This window comes from Homo sapiens, chromosome 8 (assembly GCF_000001405.40).
Source record: "Homo sapiens chromosome 8, GRCh38.p14 Primary Assembly".
In the NCBI taxonomy this organism is placed as follows: Eukaryota; Metazoa; Chordata; class Mammalia; order Primates; family Hominidae; genus Homo; species Homo sapiens.
The window spans coordinates 104,306,089-104,323,771 of NC_000008.11; the positions used below are offsets into that span (position 1 = coordinate 104,306,089).

General features: G+C 43.5%; 1 long non-coding RNA gene across 1 annotated transcript; it reads right to left on the reverse strand.

Annotated features, from left to right (window-relative positions):
* Positions 1-461: 461 nt before the first annotated feature.
* Positions 462-17,397, reverse strand: LOC107986899 (uncharacterized). Its single transcript, XR_001745732.1, has 3 exons — positions 17,272-17,397; positions 12,715-12,814; positions 462-559 (listed from the first exon to the last, which is right to left on the reverse strand). It is a non-coding gene; the product is annotated as an uncharacterized LOC107986899 (long non-coding RNA).
* Between the last annotated feature and the right edge of the window lie 286 nt (positions 17,398-17,683).

Genomic DNA, 17,683 nt, shown 5'->3' on the forward strand with positions numbered 1-17,683 from the left:
TTAGGACTTCGACATATCTTTTTTATTTTTTATTTTTTTGAGATGGAGTCTCACCCTGTCTCCCAGGCTGGAATGCAGTGGCACAATCTCGGCTCACTGCAATCTCTGCCTCCCAAGTTCAAATGATTCTCATGCCTCAGCCTCCTGAGTAGCTGGGTTTACAGGCACATGCCACCACACCTGGCTTTTTTTTTTTTTTTTTTTTGTATTTTTAGTAGAGACGAGGTTTTGCCATGCTGGCCAGGCTGGTCTTGAACTCTTGACCTCAGGTGATCCACCTGCCTTGGTCCTCCCAAAGTGCTAGGATTACAGGTGACAGCCACTGCACTTGGCCTTTTTTTTTTTTTTTTTTTGAGGACACAATTCCACTAATAACTCTGAAGGAAATAAAAATATTTTACCTCAAAATATATTTTTTATATTTAAAGAAATAAAAATGGCTGCCACAAAGTGAGCAAACAGAAGTGACCTTGCAAAGCTGTATTTTGTGGCGAAAAACTTGCATCTGTGGAGCATCTCCATTAAGTGTAGTCAGGCTCTTTCCATGCCTTTCCAGGATCTAGAAGAGATTGAGAGTCTGACATCATTAAAAGTCTAAAAATAATCATTTACCATCTATTCTGTCAGAGGGAGGCTTCGTCTACGTAACAAGGCCATCTTTGCCAGCCAAGCCTCTTCCTTTCTCCCTCTCATAACCTGTCTTGCCACTAAAACCTGGTTTTGGGGCATCCATTGAGTCATATTCTTTCTATAATCCCAAGATGACACAGAAACTTCTAGAACATATTGTTGGGTGGAATCTTCATTCTGAAGGCTCCCACATATACACATTAAATAAATTGTATGCCTTTCTCCTATTAGTCAACCTGCCTCATGTCAGTGATTTTTCAGTGAACTTTTAGGGGCCAGGAGACTATAGCCCCCACATTTTGAGGACACAATTCAACCCATAGCACAATCTCAATCCTAATTGATGGTTCTAAACTGCAGACCTTACCTGTGTCTAACTGCCACTGCATCTTTCCTTTCTATCTCCCATTGAAACTGCCTTTGTAAAGTTATGACATAAGAGAAATCCGACATGGCTGACTCCATCTTGCTTCTAGCCTTACAGGCTGGCTGTCTTTGCACATTCCTGGGTGTGGGCCAAGCTAACTTCGGGAGAAATTTAATTTATAGTTTAAATGGTAGTGGCCCTTTCCCAAAACTAAACTGCTCTTGTAAAACTAATGAAAGGTCACCATCTTAGGAGGAAATGGTGTAGGCATAGTTAAAAAATTATCAGCCATTATTCCAGAGGTCACAAGAGTTGCAACTTCTCCAATTACTCCTGCAGATAACATCACTATTAGAGAAACTAAGATTGGCCTTTTGAGTTGTCTTTTCAGTTTTTTGCGTCTCTGACAACTGGATGCCCCGCTGCCCAAGACTTGCCAACCAGTCCTCTGGCCCTCACCTAGGAACAGATTCAGCTCAGGAGGACAGCTTCAATTCCCTATGATTTTATCTCCAATCAGTCAGCTCTCCCCACTCCCTGGCCTCTTACCCAGCAAACTATCTTTGAAAAACCCTTAACCTTTGAGCCTTTGATGAGATTAATTTGAGTAATAACTCTGTCTCCCATGTGGCCGACCTTGCATCAATTAAACTCTTTCTTAACTGCAATGCTATGGTCTTAATAAATTGACGTTGTTTGTGCAGTGGGCAGGAAGAACTCATCAGATGCAGTTACACCATCATTTCAAACCCTCTGTATTAGTCCATTCTCATGCTGCTAATGAAGACATACCCAAGACTGGGTAATTTATAAAGGGAAGAGGTTTAATTGACTCACAGTTCCACAATGCTGGGGAGGCCTCACAATCATGGCAGGAGGTGAAAAAAGAGCAAAGCCACATCTTACATTGCAGCAGGTAAGAGAGAGTTTGTACAGGGGCACTCCCATTTATAAAACCATCCGATCTCATGAGATTTATTCACCACCATGAGAACAGTATGGGGGAAACCTCCCCCATGATTCAATTATCTCCAGTTGGCCCTGTCTTGACATGTGGGGATTATTACAATTCGAGGTGAGATTTGGGTAGGGACACAGCCAAACCATATCACACCCAGGGCCAACATCACTCGCAGCTCCATACTTTTACACAGCTTGTTAGGACTGAATTGCCCTCCACAAAATTTCATACATTGAAGCCCTAACCACCAATACCTCACAATGTGACTATATTTGGAGATGGGGTCTTGAAAGAGGTGATTATAAGCTAACATAAGGTCATGAGAGTGGGCCCTAATCTAATCTGACTGGCATCCATATAAGAAGAAGACATTTGGACACCAGGGATGTACACAGAAGAAAGTCCATGTGAGGACACAGCAGGAAGGCGGCCATCCACAAGCCAAGAAGAGAGGCCTCAGGAGAAACCAAACCTACCTACAACTATCTTGGACTTCTAGCCTCCAGAACAATGAGAAGACACGTTTTTTGTTGTTTAAAGAGCTGAGTTGCCAAGATGGCCGAATAGGAACAGCTCTGGTCTGCAGCTCCCACCGTGAATGACACAGAAGACAGGTGATTTCTGCATTTCCAACTGAGATATCTGGTTCTTCTCATTGGGGCTGGTTGGACAGTGGGTGCAGGCCACGGAGGGTGAGCTGAAGCAGGGTGGGGCGTTGCCTTACCCAGGAAGTGCAAGGGGTTGGGGGATTTCCCTTTCTTAGCCAACGGACGCAGTGACAGACTACCTGGAAGAATGGGACAATCTTGCCCAAATACTGCGCTGTTCCCAAGGTCTTAGCAACTGACAGACAAGGAGATTCTCTCCTGTGCCTGGCTCGGTGGGTCCCACACCCACAGAGGCTTGCTCACTGCTAGCACAGCAGTCTGAGATCAAACTGTGTGGTGGCAGCCTGGCTGGGGGAGGGGAGTCCGCCATTGCTGAGGCTTGAGTAGGTAAACAAAGCAGCCAGGAAGCTTGAACTGCGCAGAGTCCACCACAGGTAAACAAGGCCCACTGCCTCTAGACTCCACCTCTATGGGCAGGGCATAGCTGAACAAAAGGCAGCAGACAACTTCTGCAGACTTAAACGTCCCTGTCTGACAGCCCTGAAGAGAGCAGTGGTTATCCCAGCATGGCATTTGAGCTCTGAGAATGGAAAGACTGCCTCCACAAGTGGGTCCCTGACCCCCGGGTAGCCTAACTGGGGGACACCTCCCAGTAGGGGCCAACAGACACCTCATATAGGCAGCTGCTCCTCTGGGACGAAGCTTCCAGAGGAAGGATCAGGCAGCAAGATTTGTTGTTCTGTAGCCTCCGCTGGTGATACCCAGGCAAACAGGGTCTGCAGTGGACATCCAGCAAACTCCATCAGACCTGCAGCTGAGGGACCTGACTGTGAGAAGGAAAACTAACAAACAGAAAGGAATAGCATCAGCATCAACAAAAAGCTCATCTACACCAAAACCCCATCTGTAGGTCACCAACATCAAAGACCAAAGGTAGATAAAACCACAAAGATGGGGAGAAACCAGAGCAGAAAAGCTGAAAATTCTAAAAATCCGAGTGCTTTTTCTCCTCCAAAGGATCGCAGCTCCTCGCCACCAACGGAACAAAGCTAGACAGAGAATGACTTTGACGAGTTGACAGAAGTAGGCTTCAGAAGGTCGGTAATAACAAACTTCTCTGAGCTAAAGGAGGATGTTTGAACCCATTGCAAGGAAGCTAAAAACCTTGAAAAAAGATTAGACAAATGGCTAACTAGAATAAACAGTGTAAAGAAGAGCTTAAATGACCTGATGGAACTGAAAACCATGGCACAAGAACTTTGTGATGCACGCACAAGCTTCAGTAGCCAATTCAATCAAGTGGAAGAAAGGGTTTCAGTGATTGAAGATCAAATTAATGAAATAAAGTGAGAAGACAAGGTTAGAGAAAAAAGAGTAAAAAGAAACGAACAAAGCCTCCAAGAAATATGGGACTATGTGAAAAGACCAAATCTACGTTTGATTGGTGTACCTGAAAGAATGGAACCAAGCTGGAAAACACTGTTCAGGATATTATGCAGAAGAACTTCCCCAACCTAGCAAGGGAGGCCAACATTCAAATTCAGGAAATACAGAGAACACCACAAAGATACTCCTTGAGAAGAGCAACCCCAAGACACATAATTATCAGATTCACCAAGGTTGAAATGAAGGAAAAAGTGTTAAGGGCAGCCAGAGAGAAAGGTCAAGTTACCCACAAAGGGAAGCCCATCAGACTAATGGCAGATATCTCAGCAGAAACCCTACAAGCCAGAAGAGATTGGGGGCCAATATTTAACATTCTTAAAGAAAAGAATTTTCAACCCAGAATTTCATATCTAGCCAAACTAAGCTTCATAAGTGAAGGAGAAATAAAATCCTTTACAGACAAGCAAATGCTGAGAGATTTTGTCGCCACCAGGCCTGCCTTACAGGAGCTCCTGAAGGAAGCACTAAACATGGAAAGAAACAACTGGTACCAGCCACTGCAAAAACATGCCAAATTGTAAAGATCATCGATACTATGAAGAAACTGCATCAATTAATGGGCAAAATAACCAGTGAACATCATAATAACAGGATCAAATTCACACATAACAATATTAACCTTAAATATAAATGGGCTAAATGTCCCAAGTAAAAGACACAGACTGGCAAATTGGATAAAGAGTCAAGACCCATCAGTGTGCTGTATTCAGGAGCCCCATCTCATGTGCAAAGATGCACACAGGCTCAAAATAAAGGGATGGAGGAAGATCTACCAAGCAAACAGAAAGCAAAAAAAAGCAGGGGTTGCAATCCTAGTCTCTGATAAAACAGATTTTAAACCAACAAAGATCAAAAGAGACAAAGAAGGCCATTACATCATGGTAAAGGGATGAATTCAACAAGAAGAGCTAACTATCCTAAATATATATGCACCCAATACAGGAGCACCCAGATTCATAAAGCAAGTCCTTAGAGACCTACAAAGAGACTTAGACTCCCACACAATAATAATGGGAGACTTTAACACCCCACTGCCAATATTAGACATATCAACGAGACAGAAGTTTAATAAGGATATCCAGGACTTGAACTCAGCTCTGCAACAAGCAGACCTAATAGACATCTACAGAACTCTCCACCCCAAATCAACAGAATATACATTCCTCTCAGCACCACATCACACTTATTCTAAAATTGACCACATAATTGGAAGTAAAGCACTCCTCAGCAAATGTAAAAGAACAGAAATCACAACAAACTATCTCTCAGACCACGGTGCAATCAAATTAGAACTCAGGATTAAGAAACTCACACAAAACTGCACTACTTCATGGAAACTGAACAACCTGCTCCTGAATGACTACTGGGTAAATAATGAAATGAAAGCAAAAATAAAGATGTTCTTTGAAACCAATGAGAACAAAGACACAACATACCAGAATCTCTGGGACACATTTAAAGCAGTGTATAGAGGGAAATTTATAGCACTAAATGCCCACAAGAAAAAGCAGGAAAGATCTAAAATCAACATCCTAACATCACAATTAAAAGAACTAGAGAAGCAAGAGCAAACACATTCAAAAGCTAGCAGAAGGCAAGAAATAACTAAGATCAGAGCAGAACTGAAGGAGATAGAGACATAAAAAACCCTTCAAAAATTCAATGAATCCAGGAGCTGGTTTTTTGAAATGATCAACAAAATTGATAGAACGCTAGCAAGACTAATAAAGAAGAAAAGAGAGAAGAATCCAATAGACGCAATAAAAATGATAAAGGGGATGTCACCATCGATTCCACAGAACAAACTACCATCAGAAAATACTATAAATACCACTATGCAAATAAACTAGAAAACCTAGAAGAAATGGATAAATTCCTGGACACATACACCCTCCCAAGACTAAACCAGGAAGAAGTTGAATCTCTGAATAGACCAATAACAGGCTCTGAAATTGAGGCAACAATTAATAGCCTACCAACCAAAAAAAGTCCAGGACCAGATGGATTCACAGCCAAATTCTACCAGAGGTACAAAGAGGAGCTGGTACCATTCCTTCTGAAACTATTCCAATCAATAGAAAAAGAGGGAATCCTCCCTAACTCAACAGGATGATGAGTCCAACATCATCCTGATACCAAAGCCTGGCAGAGACACAACAACAAAAAAAGACAATTTTAGACCAATATCCCTGAAGAACATCGATGCAAAAATCCTCAATAAAATACTGGTAAACCGAGTCCAGCAGCACACCAAAAAGCTTATTCACCACGATCAAGTCAGCTTCATCCCTGGGATGAAAGGCTGGTTCAACATACGCAAATCAATAAACATAATCCATCACATAAACAGAACCATCGACAAAAACCACATGATTATCTCAATAGATGCAGAAAAGGCCTTCGACAAAATTCAACAGCCCTTCATGCTAAAAACTCTCAATAAACTAGTTATTGATGGGATGTATCTCAAAATAATAAGAGCTATTTATGACAAACCCACAGCCAATATCATACTGCATGGACAAAAACTAGAAGCATTCTCTTTTGAAAACCAGCACAAGACAAGGTTGCCCTCTCTCACCACTCTTATTCAACATAGTGTTGGAAATTCTGGCCAGGGCAATCAAGAAAGAGAAAGAAATAAAGGGTATTCAATTAGGAAATGAGGAAGTCAAACTGTCCCTGTTTGCAGATGACATGATTGTATATTTAGAAAACCCCATCATCTCAGCCCAAAATCTCCTTAAGCTGATAAGCAACTTCCACAAAGTCTCAGGATCCAAAATCAATGTGCAAAAATCACAAGCTTTCCTATACACCATTAACAGATAAACAGCCAAATCATGAGTGAACTCCCATTCACAATTGCTTCAAAGAGAATAAAATACCTAGGAATCCAACTTACAAGGAATGTGAAGGACCTCTTCAAGGAGAACTACAAACCACTGCTCAACAAAATACAAAGAGGACACAAATGGAAGAATATTCCGTGCTCACAGACAGGATGAATCAATATTGTGAAAATGGCCATACTGCCAAAAGTAATTTATAGATTCAATGCCATCCCCATCAAGCTACCAATGACTTTCTTCACAGAATTGGAAAAAACTACTTTAAAGTTCATATGGAACCAAAAAAAGAGCACACATTGCCAAGACAATCCTAAGCAAAAAGAACAAAGCTGGAGGCATCACGCTACCTGACTTCAAACTATCCTACAAGGCTACAGTAACCAAAACAGCATGCTACTGGTACCAAAACAGAGATATAGACCAGTGGAACAGAAGAGAGCCCTCAGAAATAACACCACATATCTACAACCATCTCATCTTTGACAAACCTGACAGAAACAAGAAATGGGGAAAGGACTCCCTATTTAATAAATGGTGCTGGGAAAACTGGCTAGCCACATGTAGAAAGCTGAAACTGGATCCCTTCCTTACAACTTATACAAAAATTAATTCAAGATGGATTAAAGACTTAAATGTTAGGCCTGAAAACATAAAACCTCTAGAAGAAAACCTAGGCAATACCATTCAGGACATAGGCATGGGCAAGGACTTCATGACTAAAACATCAAAAGCAATGGCAACAAAAGCCAAAATAGACAAATAGAATCTAATTAAACTAAAGAGCTTCTGCACAGCAAAAGAAACTACCATCAGAATGAACAGGCAACCTACAGAATGGGAGAAAATTTTTACAATCTACCCATATGACAAAGGGCTAATATCTAGAATCTACAAAGAACTCAAACAAGTTTACAAGAAAAAATCAAACAACCCCATCAAAAAGTGTGCAAAGGATATGAACAGACACTTCTCAAAAGAAGACATGTATGCAGCCAACAGACACATGAAAAAATGCTCACCATCACTGGCCATCAGAGAAATGCAAATCAAAACCACAATGAGATACCATCTCACAGCAGTTAGAATGGCAATCATTAAAAAGTCAGGAAACAACAGGTGCTGGAGAGGATGTGGAGAAGTAGGAACACTTTTACACTGTTGGTGGGACTGTAAACTGGTTCAACCATTGTGGAAGACAGTGTGGCAATTCCTCAAGGATCTAGAACTAGAAATACCATTTGACCCAGCCATCCTATTACTGGGTATATACCGAAAGGATTATAAATCATGCTGCTATAAAGACACATGCACACGTATGTTTATTGCAGCACTATTCACAATAGCAAAGACTTGGAACCAACCCAAATGTCCATCAATGATAGACTGGATTCAGAAATTGTGGCACATATACACCATGGAATACTGTGCAGCCATAAGAAAGGATGAGTTCTTGTCCTTTGTAGGGACATGGATGAAGCTGGAAACCACCATTCTCAGCAAACTTTCACAAGGACAGAAAACCAAACACCACATGTTCTCACTCATAGGTGGGAATTGAACAATGAGATCACCTGGAAACAGGGAACAGAACATCACACACCAGGGCCTGTAGAGGGGTAGGGGGCTGGGGGAGGGATAGCATTAGGAGAAATACCTAATGTAAATGATGAGTTGATGGGTGTAGGAAGCCAACATGGCACATGTATACATATGTATCAAACCTGCACATTGTGCACATGTACCCTAGAACTTAAAGTATAGTAAAAAAAAAAAAAAAAAAGAGCTGAGTCTGTGGCATTCTATTACGGCAGCTGGAGCTGACTGATACATTGCTCCATTTGATAGTTCTCCCAGGCACTGCCCCAGGCCTCACTCACTGCCCCTGTGTCATCTCTCTTGACTCATGTCTCTGAATGTCAGTGTGTAACACCTATGCAGTAATTTTCATTCTCAGTTTCGGTAGGTAGGTGATATGGTTTGGCCATGTTCCCACCCAAATCTCATCTTGAAATGTAGCTCCCATAATTCCCATGTGTCGTGGGAGACACCTGGTGGGAGTAAATTGAATCATGGGGACGGGTCTTTGCTGTGCTGTTCTCATGGTAGTGAATAGGTATAAAACCATCAAGAGATCTGATGGTTTTATAAAGGGGAGTTCCCCTATACAAGTTTTCTTGCCTGCCGCCATGTAAGACGGGATTTTGTTCCTCCTTCCCCTTCCACCATGATTGTGAGGCCTCCTCAGCCATGTGGAACAGTGAGTCAATTAAACCTCTTTCCTTTATAAATTACCCAGTCTTGGGTATGTCTTTATCAGCAGTGTGGGAACAGACTAATACAGTAGGCATAGTTTGTTAGGCTTCTATCAGCTGGCTGGTGTGGCCTTTGATGCCCACGGCATGGGGCAGCTAGGTAAGGGGTTGATGGAAACAGAGGGAAGACTGGGTTCCAGCAGCTGGTTTGAGCCATGGTTGCAGAGAATGGGAAAGAGGATCATGTAGACATTAGGCAGCTCACCTGCAAAGCAGCTTGATGGAAAAGCTCAGTTCATTCTTGAAATTCTTACTTATTTTAGTAGGTTCAGAAACGGAGAATGGGGGAGAATGACATTTCTTAGATTTTCCCTCCTTGGCTTTCTCCTGGATACAGCTTCCTTTCCTTAATGGATATCCTTATGTCCCTCTCTCCTATGGTACTTTCCTTCCTCTTCTAGCTCTCCACTGGCTTCCTGATCTTGCCTAGATAACAAGAGTTAAAGCTGCAAAGAGAACTAGGTGTTGAGCACCTCATTGTTTTGGACTCTGTGGCCGTTGCTGTGGATGAGATTGACTTAGGAGTTTACATTCTTGTGTTTTGGAGGCAGAAGATAAACAAACAAGGAAACTATCGGAGTGTAATGTGCTGATAATTAAAATGAAGAGATGAGAGTGCAACTGCGTGCTCCATCAGGGGATGGCTTTAGATTGGGTGGCTTTTGCTGCAGCTCTTGTGGTGTTGAGGTTGGGGGGGAGTTGACAATTTATGATCCACAACACCATTAATCAGGTTGAGAAAGTATCAGATACACCGCAGAGTTCTGCAATTTTGACTCTAAGTTACACAAAAAGTAAGTTTTCTTATCTATACCAGACAGAGGGTGTAACCAGGCCTTGTTAGAAAATGAATAAACAGTGATTCCAAGTGCCATTTCCTTTGTCTGTTTAGAGAATTTTTAGTTATCACAAAGCTTTCTTATGAGGTCTTTGATAAGGCAATGGCATGGTATTAAAAGCTATTATCTAAGAAAACAAAACCAATAGATGCATATTTTACCTGATGCTATCTTTAAGTGGCAGACATCGAGGGACACTGGAAAGTAACTTGGGATATTAAAGCCAGGCACTGTCCCTTGGGCCTCAGCCCTAAGTCCAGGGTGTCCTTTCAGGTGGGGCACCTTTGTAGAAACATCCTCTTGCCCCAGGGGCAAGTTGCTGAGGGCCAGGAGGATTCAGTCCTCCAGGTCTTGGAGGAGCTCCAAGCTCTTGGCCTTGGAGGTGCTCAGAGGTAGCCCTTGGTATGGAGCTCTCCCTGGAGAGGAGTAGGGGAGGGAGCTGGGGAGAGGCATGGGTGGGGAGCACAGGTGGTGCAGGAGCAATTGGAGCATCCAGACCCTCCCTCCAGAGGTGGCTGGACAGAAGGTTTGGATCTTGTTGCTAATGTGCATTCCAGGACCAGCACACTGACCTTAGGCTCAGGAAGGGACTTACTGGTCAATTGCTTCTTTTGCGGGGCCTGTCAGGATTTGAAATGAAGCAGAAGCTCTTATAACATTCAGCCATAAATCTAAATCTTTTTTTTTAACTCAAGCAAAATAGTGAGATAACTTGACATTTTGCATGCTTAAATTTAGAACAGATGACAGAAATTGAATACTCATGTCATAAGCTGCTTCATTTAAACAAACACACAGAACCAGACTCTGCTTCATGTGACTTGGATCTTGAGAATGCTTCATCCTTTGCCAAAATTTAAAATCCTTAAGGTGGCTAATAAATATGGGCCTGAGAATGAGGTCACCTGACCTCCAGGCCTGGCTCTTGGTTGGCTGACAAAGCCACCCGTCTGGGCCTCAGTAAATCCTTCTCTGAGATGGCCTGGTGTGGTGGCTTTTGTGCCCAGAGGGCACACACAGTCCAAAATGAGCACACACAGTGGTGAGGACACACCTCAGGGTCTGGGAGCATGTGAACAGGGGAATATATGAGACTACCTTACAATTTATGCCTACTATGTCTAATAATGGTTGTCAATAACTGCTGGAAGCATGCTTTGCTTGTCTTTTTTTTTTTTTTTTTTTTTTTTTTTTTTTTTTTTTTTTTTAGAGACAGGTTCTCAGTTCATCACCCAGGCTGGAGTGCTGTGGCAGGGATCACAGGTCACTGCAGCCTCTAGTGTAATCACTCAGTGGGTTCTTCCTGCCTACTGTACAGAAAAGACCAGTTCACTGAGACCATGATACTGCAATTAAGAAAGAGTTTAATTGATGGGAGGCTGGCCATGTGGGAGATGAAGTCATCACTCAAATCAGTCTCCCCAAGAACTCAGAGGCTGGGGTTTTTATGGACAATTTGGTGGGCAGAGGGGCTAGGGAATGGGAACTGCTGATTGGCTGGGGATGAAATCACAGGGGTGTGGGAAACAGTCTTTGAGCATTGAGTTTGCCTCTGAGTGGGGGCCACAGGATTGGCTGAGTCATGAGTCATGGGTCCAGGTGGGGTCTATCTATAGGAGCAATTGGGAAAGTCACAAATCTTGTGCCCTCTGATTATATGACTCCTGAGCACTTAGGGATTATAGAAACTATGTCTACATTTTAGCAGAATTCAGGTCCCTCCCATAATCCTAATCCCATAGCCTTTCATTAGTTTTTGGTCCCTGAGCAAGGAGGGAGTTAGTTTTAGGGAGGGACTATTATTATCCTTGCTTCAAGGTTAAATTCCTTCCATGATTAGCTTGGCCTATGCCCAGGAATGAGCAAAGCCAGCCAGCCAGCCTGAGAGGCTAGAAGCAAGATGGAGTCAGCCATGCCATATTTCTCTCACTGTCATAATCTTTGCAAAGGCAGTTTCACCAACTCCTGGGCTCAAGAGACCTTCCTGCCTCAGCCTCCTGAGTAGCTGGGACTACAGACATGTACCACCATTCTGGCTAATTTTTAAATTTTTTCATTGAAACAGGATCTTGCTATGTTGTCCAGGCTGGTCTCAAACTCTTGGCCTCAAGTGATCCTCCCACCTTGGCTCTCCAAAGTGCTGGGATTATAGGCCTGAGCCACAGCACCTGGTTTACTTTGCCTGTCTTAAATCTCCCAAGTCTCATGACAACCTTATGAGGTATTACCATTTTACCAATAAGGATTCTGAAGCTCAGAAAGGTTAAGTAACTCATCCAGGTTCACACAGCTGTAGGTAAGGACCCATGCATCTGAGTGCACACGCCTGCCTCGTAGTCTCTGAGCACTTTCCATCATCACTGAATGGAAGGATGGGAATGGGATGGAGCTAGTGATTCTGATCCACAGACACTCCCCACTGGGAGTGATCATCTCTGGTTCTGTGTCAGCACTGGAGAGAGAGTTACTTGCTGGAGGGCAGGAGAAGGCATGAATGGAAAATGAAATGATTGATTCAATTTAGAAAAAAAATTATTGCTCCACCACCATGAGCAAGGTACAGTGTTTTAAAATTTCCCTTTCGAGAACAAAATGAATCTAATGGAAGAAAAAAAGAGAGGCAAAGGGAGCCCAATAATTTGGGTATAAACATTCCAGTTTAAATTACCTTTTCTTCTTCAAATATCACCTTTTCTCACCTTTGTGGGAAGACCCTATAATTTTAGATTTATCTCAACTATTGCTCCCAAGGCTGGCTGGGGTTGTCAGTCAGGACCATCTGTGCTGGAACGAGGTTTCCTGCAAAGACACGATTTTCACTTACTAAGAGCTATACATGACATCATGCACTTTCAACAGGAACTTCTTCACTTTTGCATGTCTTTTCTTTTCCTGCCTAAACAGATGCCTGCCTGTTATTCTACAAGAAAAACAATGGTGAGGCACGTTATTGGATAAGCCGTTTCATTTTCATGGGGCACAGCTGGAGAACCCATATGTAGAGATTTGGCCAGAGTTGATTCCTGGCTTTGCCTGAGGACAGAACATCCAGATCAACGTTAAACATTTATTCAAAGCCAATGGGTCTAGTCTTTCCAACCCCTTCTTCACGATCTCTACTCAAAAGTTGTTAGAATGAATTCATTTAGCTTTTTGTGGGTTTTCTTATGGATATTCGTTTTTTCTGACTGCCTGGATACACATGTACATCAAGCCTTTTGTCACCTAATTTAAGTCCAATTGATAGACATGTATAAGGCAGGTGCCCTGGAGATGAGGAAGGAGGAAGAGGTTGGGTATCAGAGTAGAATGATGGTCCCTGAACTCTGGAGGCTTGCATTTAAATTAAGTACCTATCTAATGTTTAAATAGATCAATTCAAATAAATGCATACATAAAGTACCAGAGGGTCATCCCTGTTGGTGACACACTGTTAAATAATACTGACCTAGAGAATATTATTATTAATGTAATAGTACACGACACCATTTATTGAGCATATGGTATGTGCCTGGCAGTTGTAAGGTGGTCGCTATCCCCATTTTGATGACAAAACAACAAACTTGGTGTTAGTCAATTCTTGTGTTAAGATAAAGGAATACCTGAGGCTGGGCAATTTACAATGAAAAGAGGTTTAATTGGCTTACGGTTCTGCAGGCCGTACAAGCACAGTGCCAGCATCTGCTTGGCTTCCGGTGGGAGCTTAGGAAGCTTGCAATCATGGTGGAAGGTGAAGCAGGAGCAGGCAAAGGGGGAGCAGTCACATGGAGAGAGAGGAAGTGAGAGAGGAAGCAAGAGAGGCAGTGGGGGAGGGGACCACACACTTTTAAACCAGATCTTATATGAACTCAGAGGGAGAACTCACTCATCACCAAGGGGATGGCTCTAAGCCATTCATGAGGGATCTGCCCCCATGATCCAATCACCTCCCACCAGGCCCCACCTCCAACACTGGGGATTACATTTCAACCGGAGATTTAGAGTGAATAAACATTCAAGCCGTATCACTCTGTGAAGTGCTAAGGTCACAGAGCTGGTAATGGCCAAGTCGCAGATCCTATATTCTGAGCTGTGAGGCTATGCTGCCCCCGATGAGGAAGCCAAGGCACAGATAGGCAATGTGATACCATGCATGGGCGCAAAACTTGCTAATGAATTATGCAAAATGGTATTGTAAAAAAGAGCTGAGTCTGAGGACCTGGGTTTGAGCCCTTTCTGCAGTTTTCTACTTGTGACTTTAGAAAAGTTGTATAATAATTCTTTGCACTTCAGTTTCCTCATTTCTCCAATTTTCATACGACTAGCCAACTCTTACATACGTTGAATAGGAAAATGCATGTGCAAAGTCCTTGCTAACTACTATTAACAGTTTGGAAGAGTACATGCAAAGCAAACGTGGGTGAAACAAGGCCTATTTTAACTACTGGTAAATAAAGAAATAATGCATCTAGGAGGTACCTAAAATAGCATTAGCTTCAACCTTTGCATACTGCAAACAAAATCTGTGTCTGCTCCCTGGGCTGGTGGCTCCTTGGTCCTCCCATACCCCATTCTGGTGGCATGCAGAGTGAACCTATAAACTCCCAGTAGAAATCAATTCACAGAATCGCCAGGAATGAAGATGTTATTTCTGGATATATGGGGCAAAGGTCTGTCTTCCCTAATATTTTATCCCTTAAATCACAGAGAAGAAAAACTGTGAGATTTACCTGACCCAGTAGAATTGAGGGAGTGTGTGTGGAAAGACTCACACAGAAATCGTAAAGCATTTTGTTTTCTTCCCCTCACCCACAAAGTTCCCCAGACCCCTTTAGGAAGATTCATAAAGCGAATCACTGGTGCTTCCGAGTGGGTGTGGCCCCTGGCAATCCCTGTCATCATCAGCTTGCTTCCTGTGCCATCGCAGGCCCCAAGAGCAGGGCTGGCATGACTGCCTGTGTCATTCCTCTTTGCTCTACTTGTCTAGGGTTATGGCTGAGCCCCAGGTGCCGTGGTGCTGTCACATTTCATCAACAGGGGCCCTGTCAAAGAATTCCAGAGAAATCTCCAAGTTGCCTTTCAGAAGTGATACCAAGCACCTCTGCCCCAAGCCATGTCTGGCACTGCCAAGCATCACCGATGAAGGTTCCGGTAGTAAGAACAGCAATGGCCCACTGAGTTCTTCCTCTGTGCCTGGCTCTGGGCTTGGGGCTTTTCCAGGGCTGTCTCCAGATCTCCCAGGTAGCCAGTGGGGAAGGCTCTACCTCATTGTGCAGATAAACAAATTCAGGCTCACAGAGGGACTGGGCTGGCATTCGAACCCAGGCGGACACTTCTGCCGAACTTCCTTCCAGTTCAGCAAGGTTAAGACTGGGATTGATTCGTACCTGAAGGTAGCATAGTACTGGAGGAGTTCACACCTCTCACATTAACAATTACTCAAACTTTCGCTAGATGTCTGACTCCGTGTTTTATAAGCAGTATTGCATTATTTTTCACAACAACTAATGATACCTCACTTTAGAGAGTGAGGGTTCTGGGAACTTAAGTAACTTCCCCATGGGCCACAGCTGTAAGGAGCTGAGCCAGGATTCAAACTCAGGCCTGTCTGAGCGTGAGGTCCTTGCTCTGAACCACTGTCCTCTACTGGCTTTTTCTGTGGTTCTCTGACATTCATCTTAGGAACTTATCAAGCCAGGGCTACTCCATGTGGCAGGCAGAGAGTGGGAAGACAGCCAGGAAAAGGGCAAGGGGCATGGAGAAGTCCTGCTCGGTTCTTTGGCCGCCAGCTGTCCCTGTTAAGTCTGATTGGGATCCAGCTGTACGACATGTGCCAGGCATTGGCGTGGTGCTTTCACATTTATTAGATTGTTTCAGTCTCAGAACAAGCTTGTTGAGCAGCTGCTATCACCTCCACTTTACAAACGAGGACATTGAGACTTCATAGATTAGGTGACTCTCCAGGTCACATAGCTAGTAGCTAGCAGCAGAGCCTGGGTGGGAACTGTGGCTCTAGACAGTATTTGAGAAGTGGCTCCTCTGGCAGACACTCTTTGTTGATTGACTCAGTGGATAATCCTGCTCCCTTATGCTGGGCGTCTCTTTACAAAGGGCAATTGCTTCCTTTCTCAGTCCCTGGTCTGATCACATGACAGTTCTGACCAATGGGATGTCAGCAGAAGTCCATTAGGAGCTTCTGGGAAGGCTGTTGCTTTTTCTGAGGAAAGGGATAGATGCCATTAACTCCACCTCTTCCCGCCTTCTTCTTGGTTTAATGAGGTCACATTCCTAGAGTAGCACCAGCCATCTTGCAAACTTGTAAGAAAGGCCAAGAGCAGGTGGCCCTGACATCACTGAGCCACCGGATCTACACCATCAGCTGCCTAGCTGTAGGCTTCTTGGTATGTGCAACAAATACACCTCCTTTCTTTTTAAGCCCCTGAAAGTCAGGCTTTCTATAACCTGCAGCCAAGCATACTCTTGATGAATGCAAGTTCTTATGGGACAGAATAAAGCAGTAGCAAACCTTGTGATGCCCTGGTCAGGTGGGTTCTATTGATTAGTAAGCACCAGACACAAGGCTCTTGGATGTGATAATAAAACTCCTGGAATGATGAGAGTCATGTAAAATTGGTGTTTTATTTCTCCAAACTAAAATATTAGATCAATGGTCAGGCACAAAACACGAACTAAAGTTGATAGACTTTCAGGAGCAAACTTGTCAAGGGCTGTGGTCCTCTCTGAGACCCCTTTAGAGCCCACCAAACCCTGATGAAGATCTTTCTGAGAAGAGCAGAAAGGAGAGCAGTCAAGGAGGACAGAAGTCAAAGTTGGAGACCCCGAGATATTTCCCAGGGAGTGCCAGAAACATGGGGATGTTGATGACTCTGCCTGACTCTCTCTTTGCTCCTCCACTCTTTCTCTCCATCCCTGGGTGCAAAATTGGCAATTTTATGCGGGGGCTAACAGTGTAGGCATCAGATTGTCTGAGTTCAAACCTTAGTTATGAATACAACCCAGTTATGAGAGTTACTATCCATATAGCACTGGACAAGTTACTTAAACTCTCTAAGTCTGTCCTCCATCTATAAAACAGACTAATAATGGTGCCTAATTCACAGGGTTTTCATGAGGCTTAAATTAGATAAGCCACACCATGTGCTTAACTCAGGCCCTGGCTTATGATGATTGATAATGTTAGTTATTGTTAGGGTCTCCAGCAAGAGCAGATGGCTATCTGTCCACGGTGCTATTATCACACAAGAAGGCCTTCTTACCTCCAACTCCCCTGCTTTCTGCTTGAGTCCTGCTGTGCTGACCGTTATGTGCTCACACTGTTAACTCCCCTTGAGGTCAGAAAAGCCAGTGTTGGGGATGGTGGACAGTCAGAGCCTTGGCCGCTTTCCAGCTGAAGGCCTTGGCCAGTGGCCTTGACTTTCCCAGCACTAACCTGTTTATACCCAACAAGACAAACTACCACAGGGCAGGTCAAGACAAGAGCAGGGGTGCCAGGAAAGAGCCAGCCCATGAAATAGAAACAGGGGTCGACCAGATACCTTCTGGGGGCCCCATTTTGTTTTATGGTTTGAGATTGGGATAAAATTGAATGTAATAAACTTAACTCTGAGTGAGACAACATGGGATTTTTTTTTTTCCTCCTCATTTAAGTCTGGGCAGTTTTCCTATTAG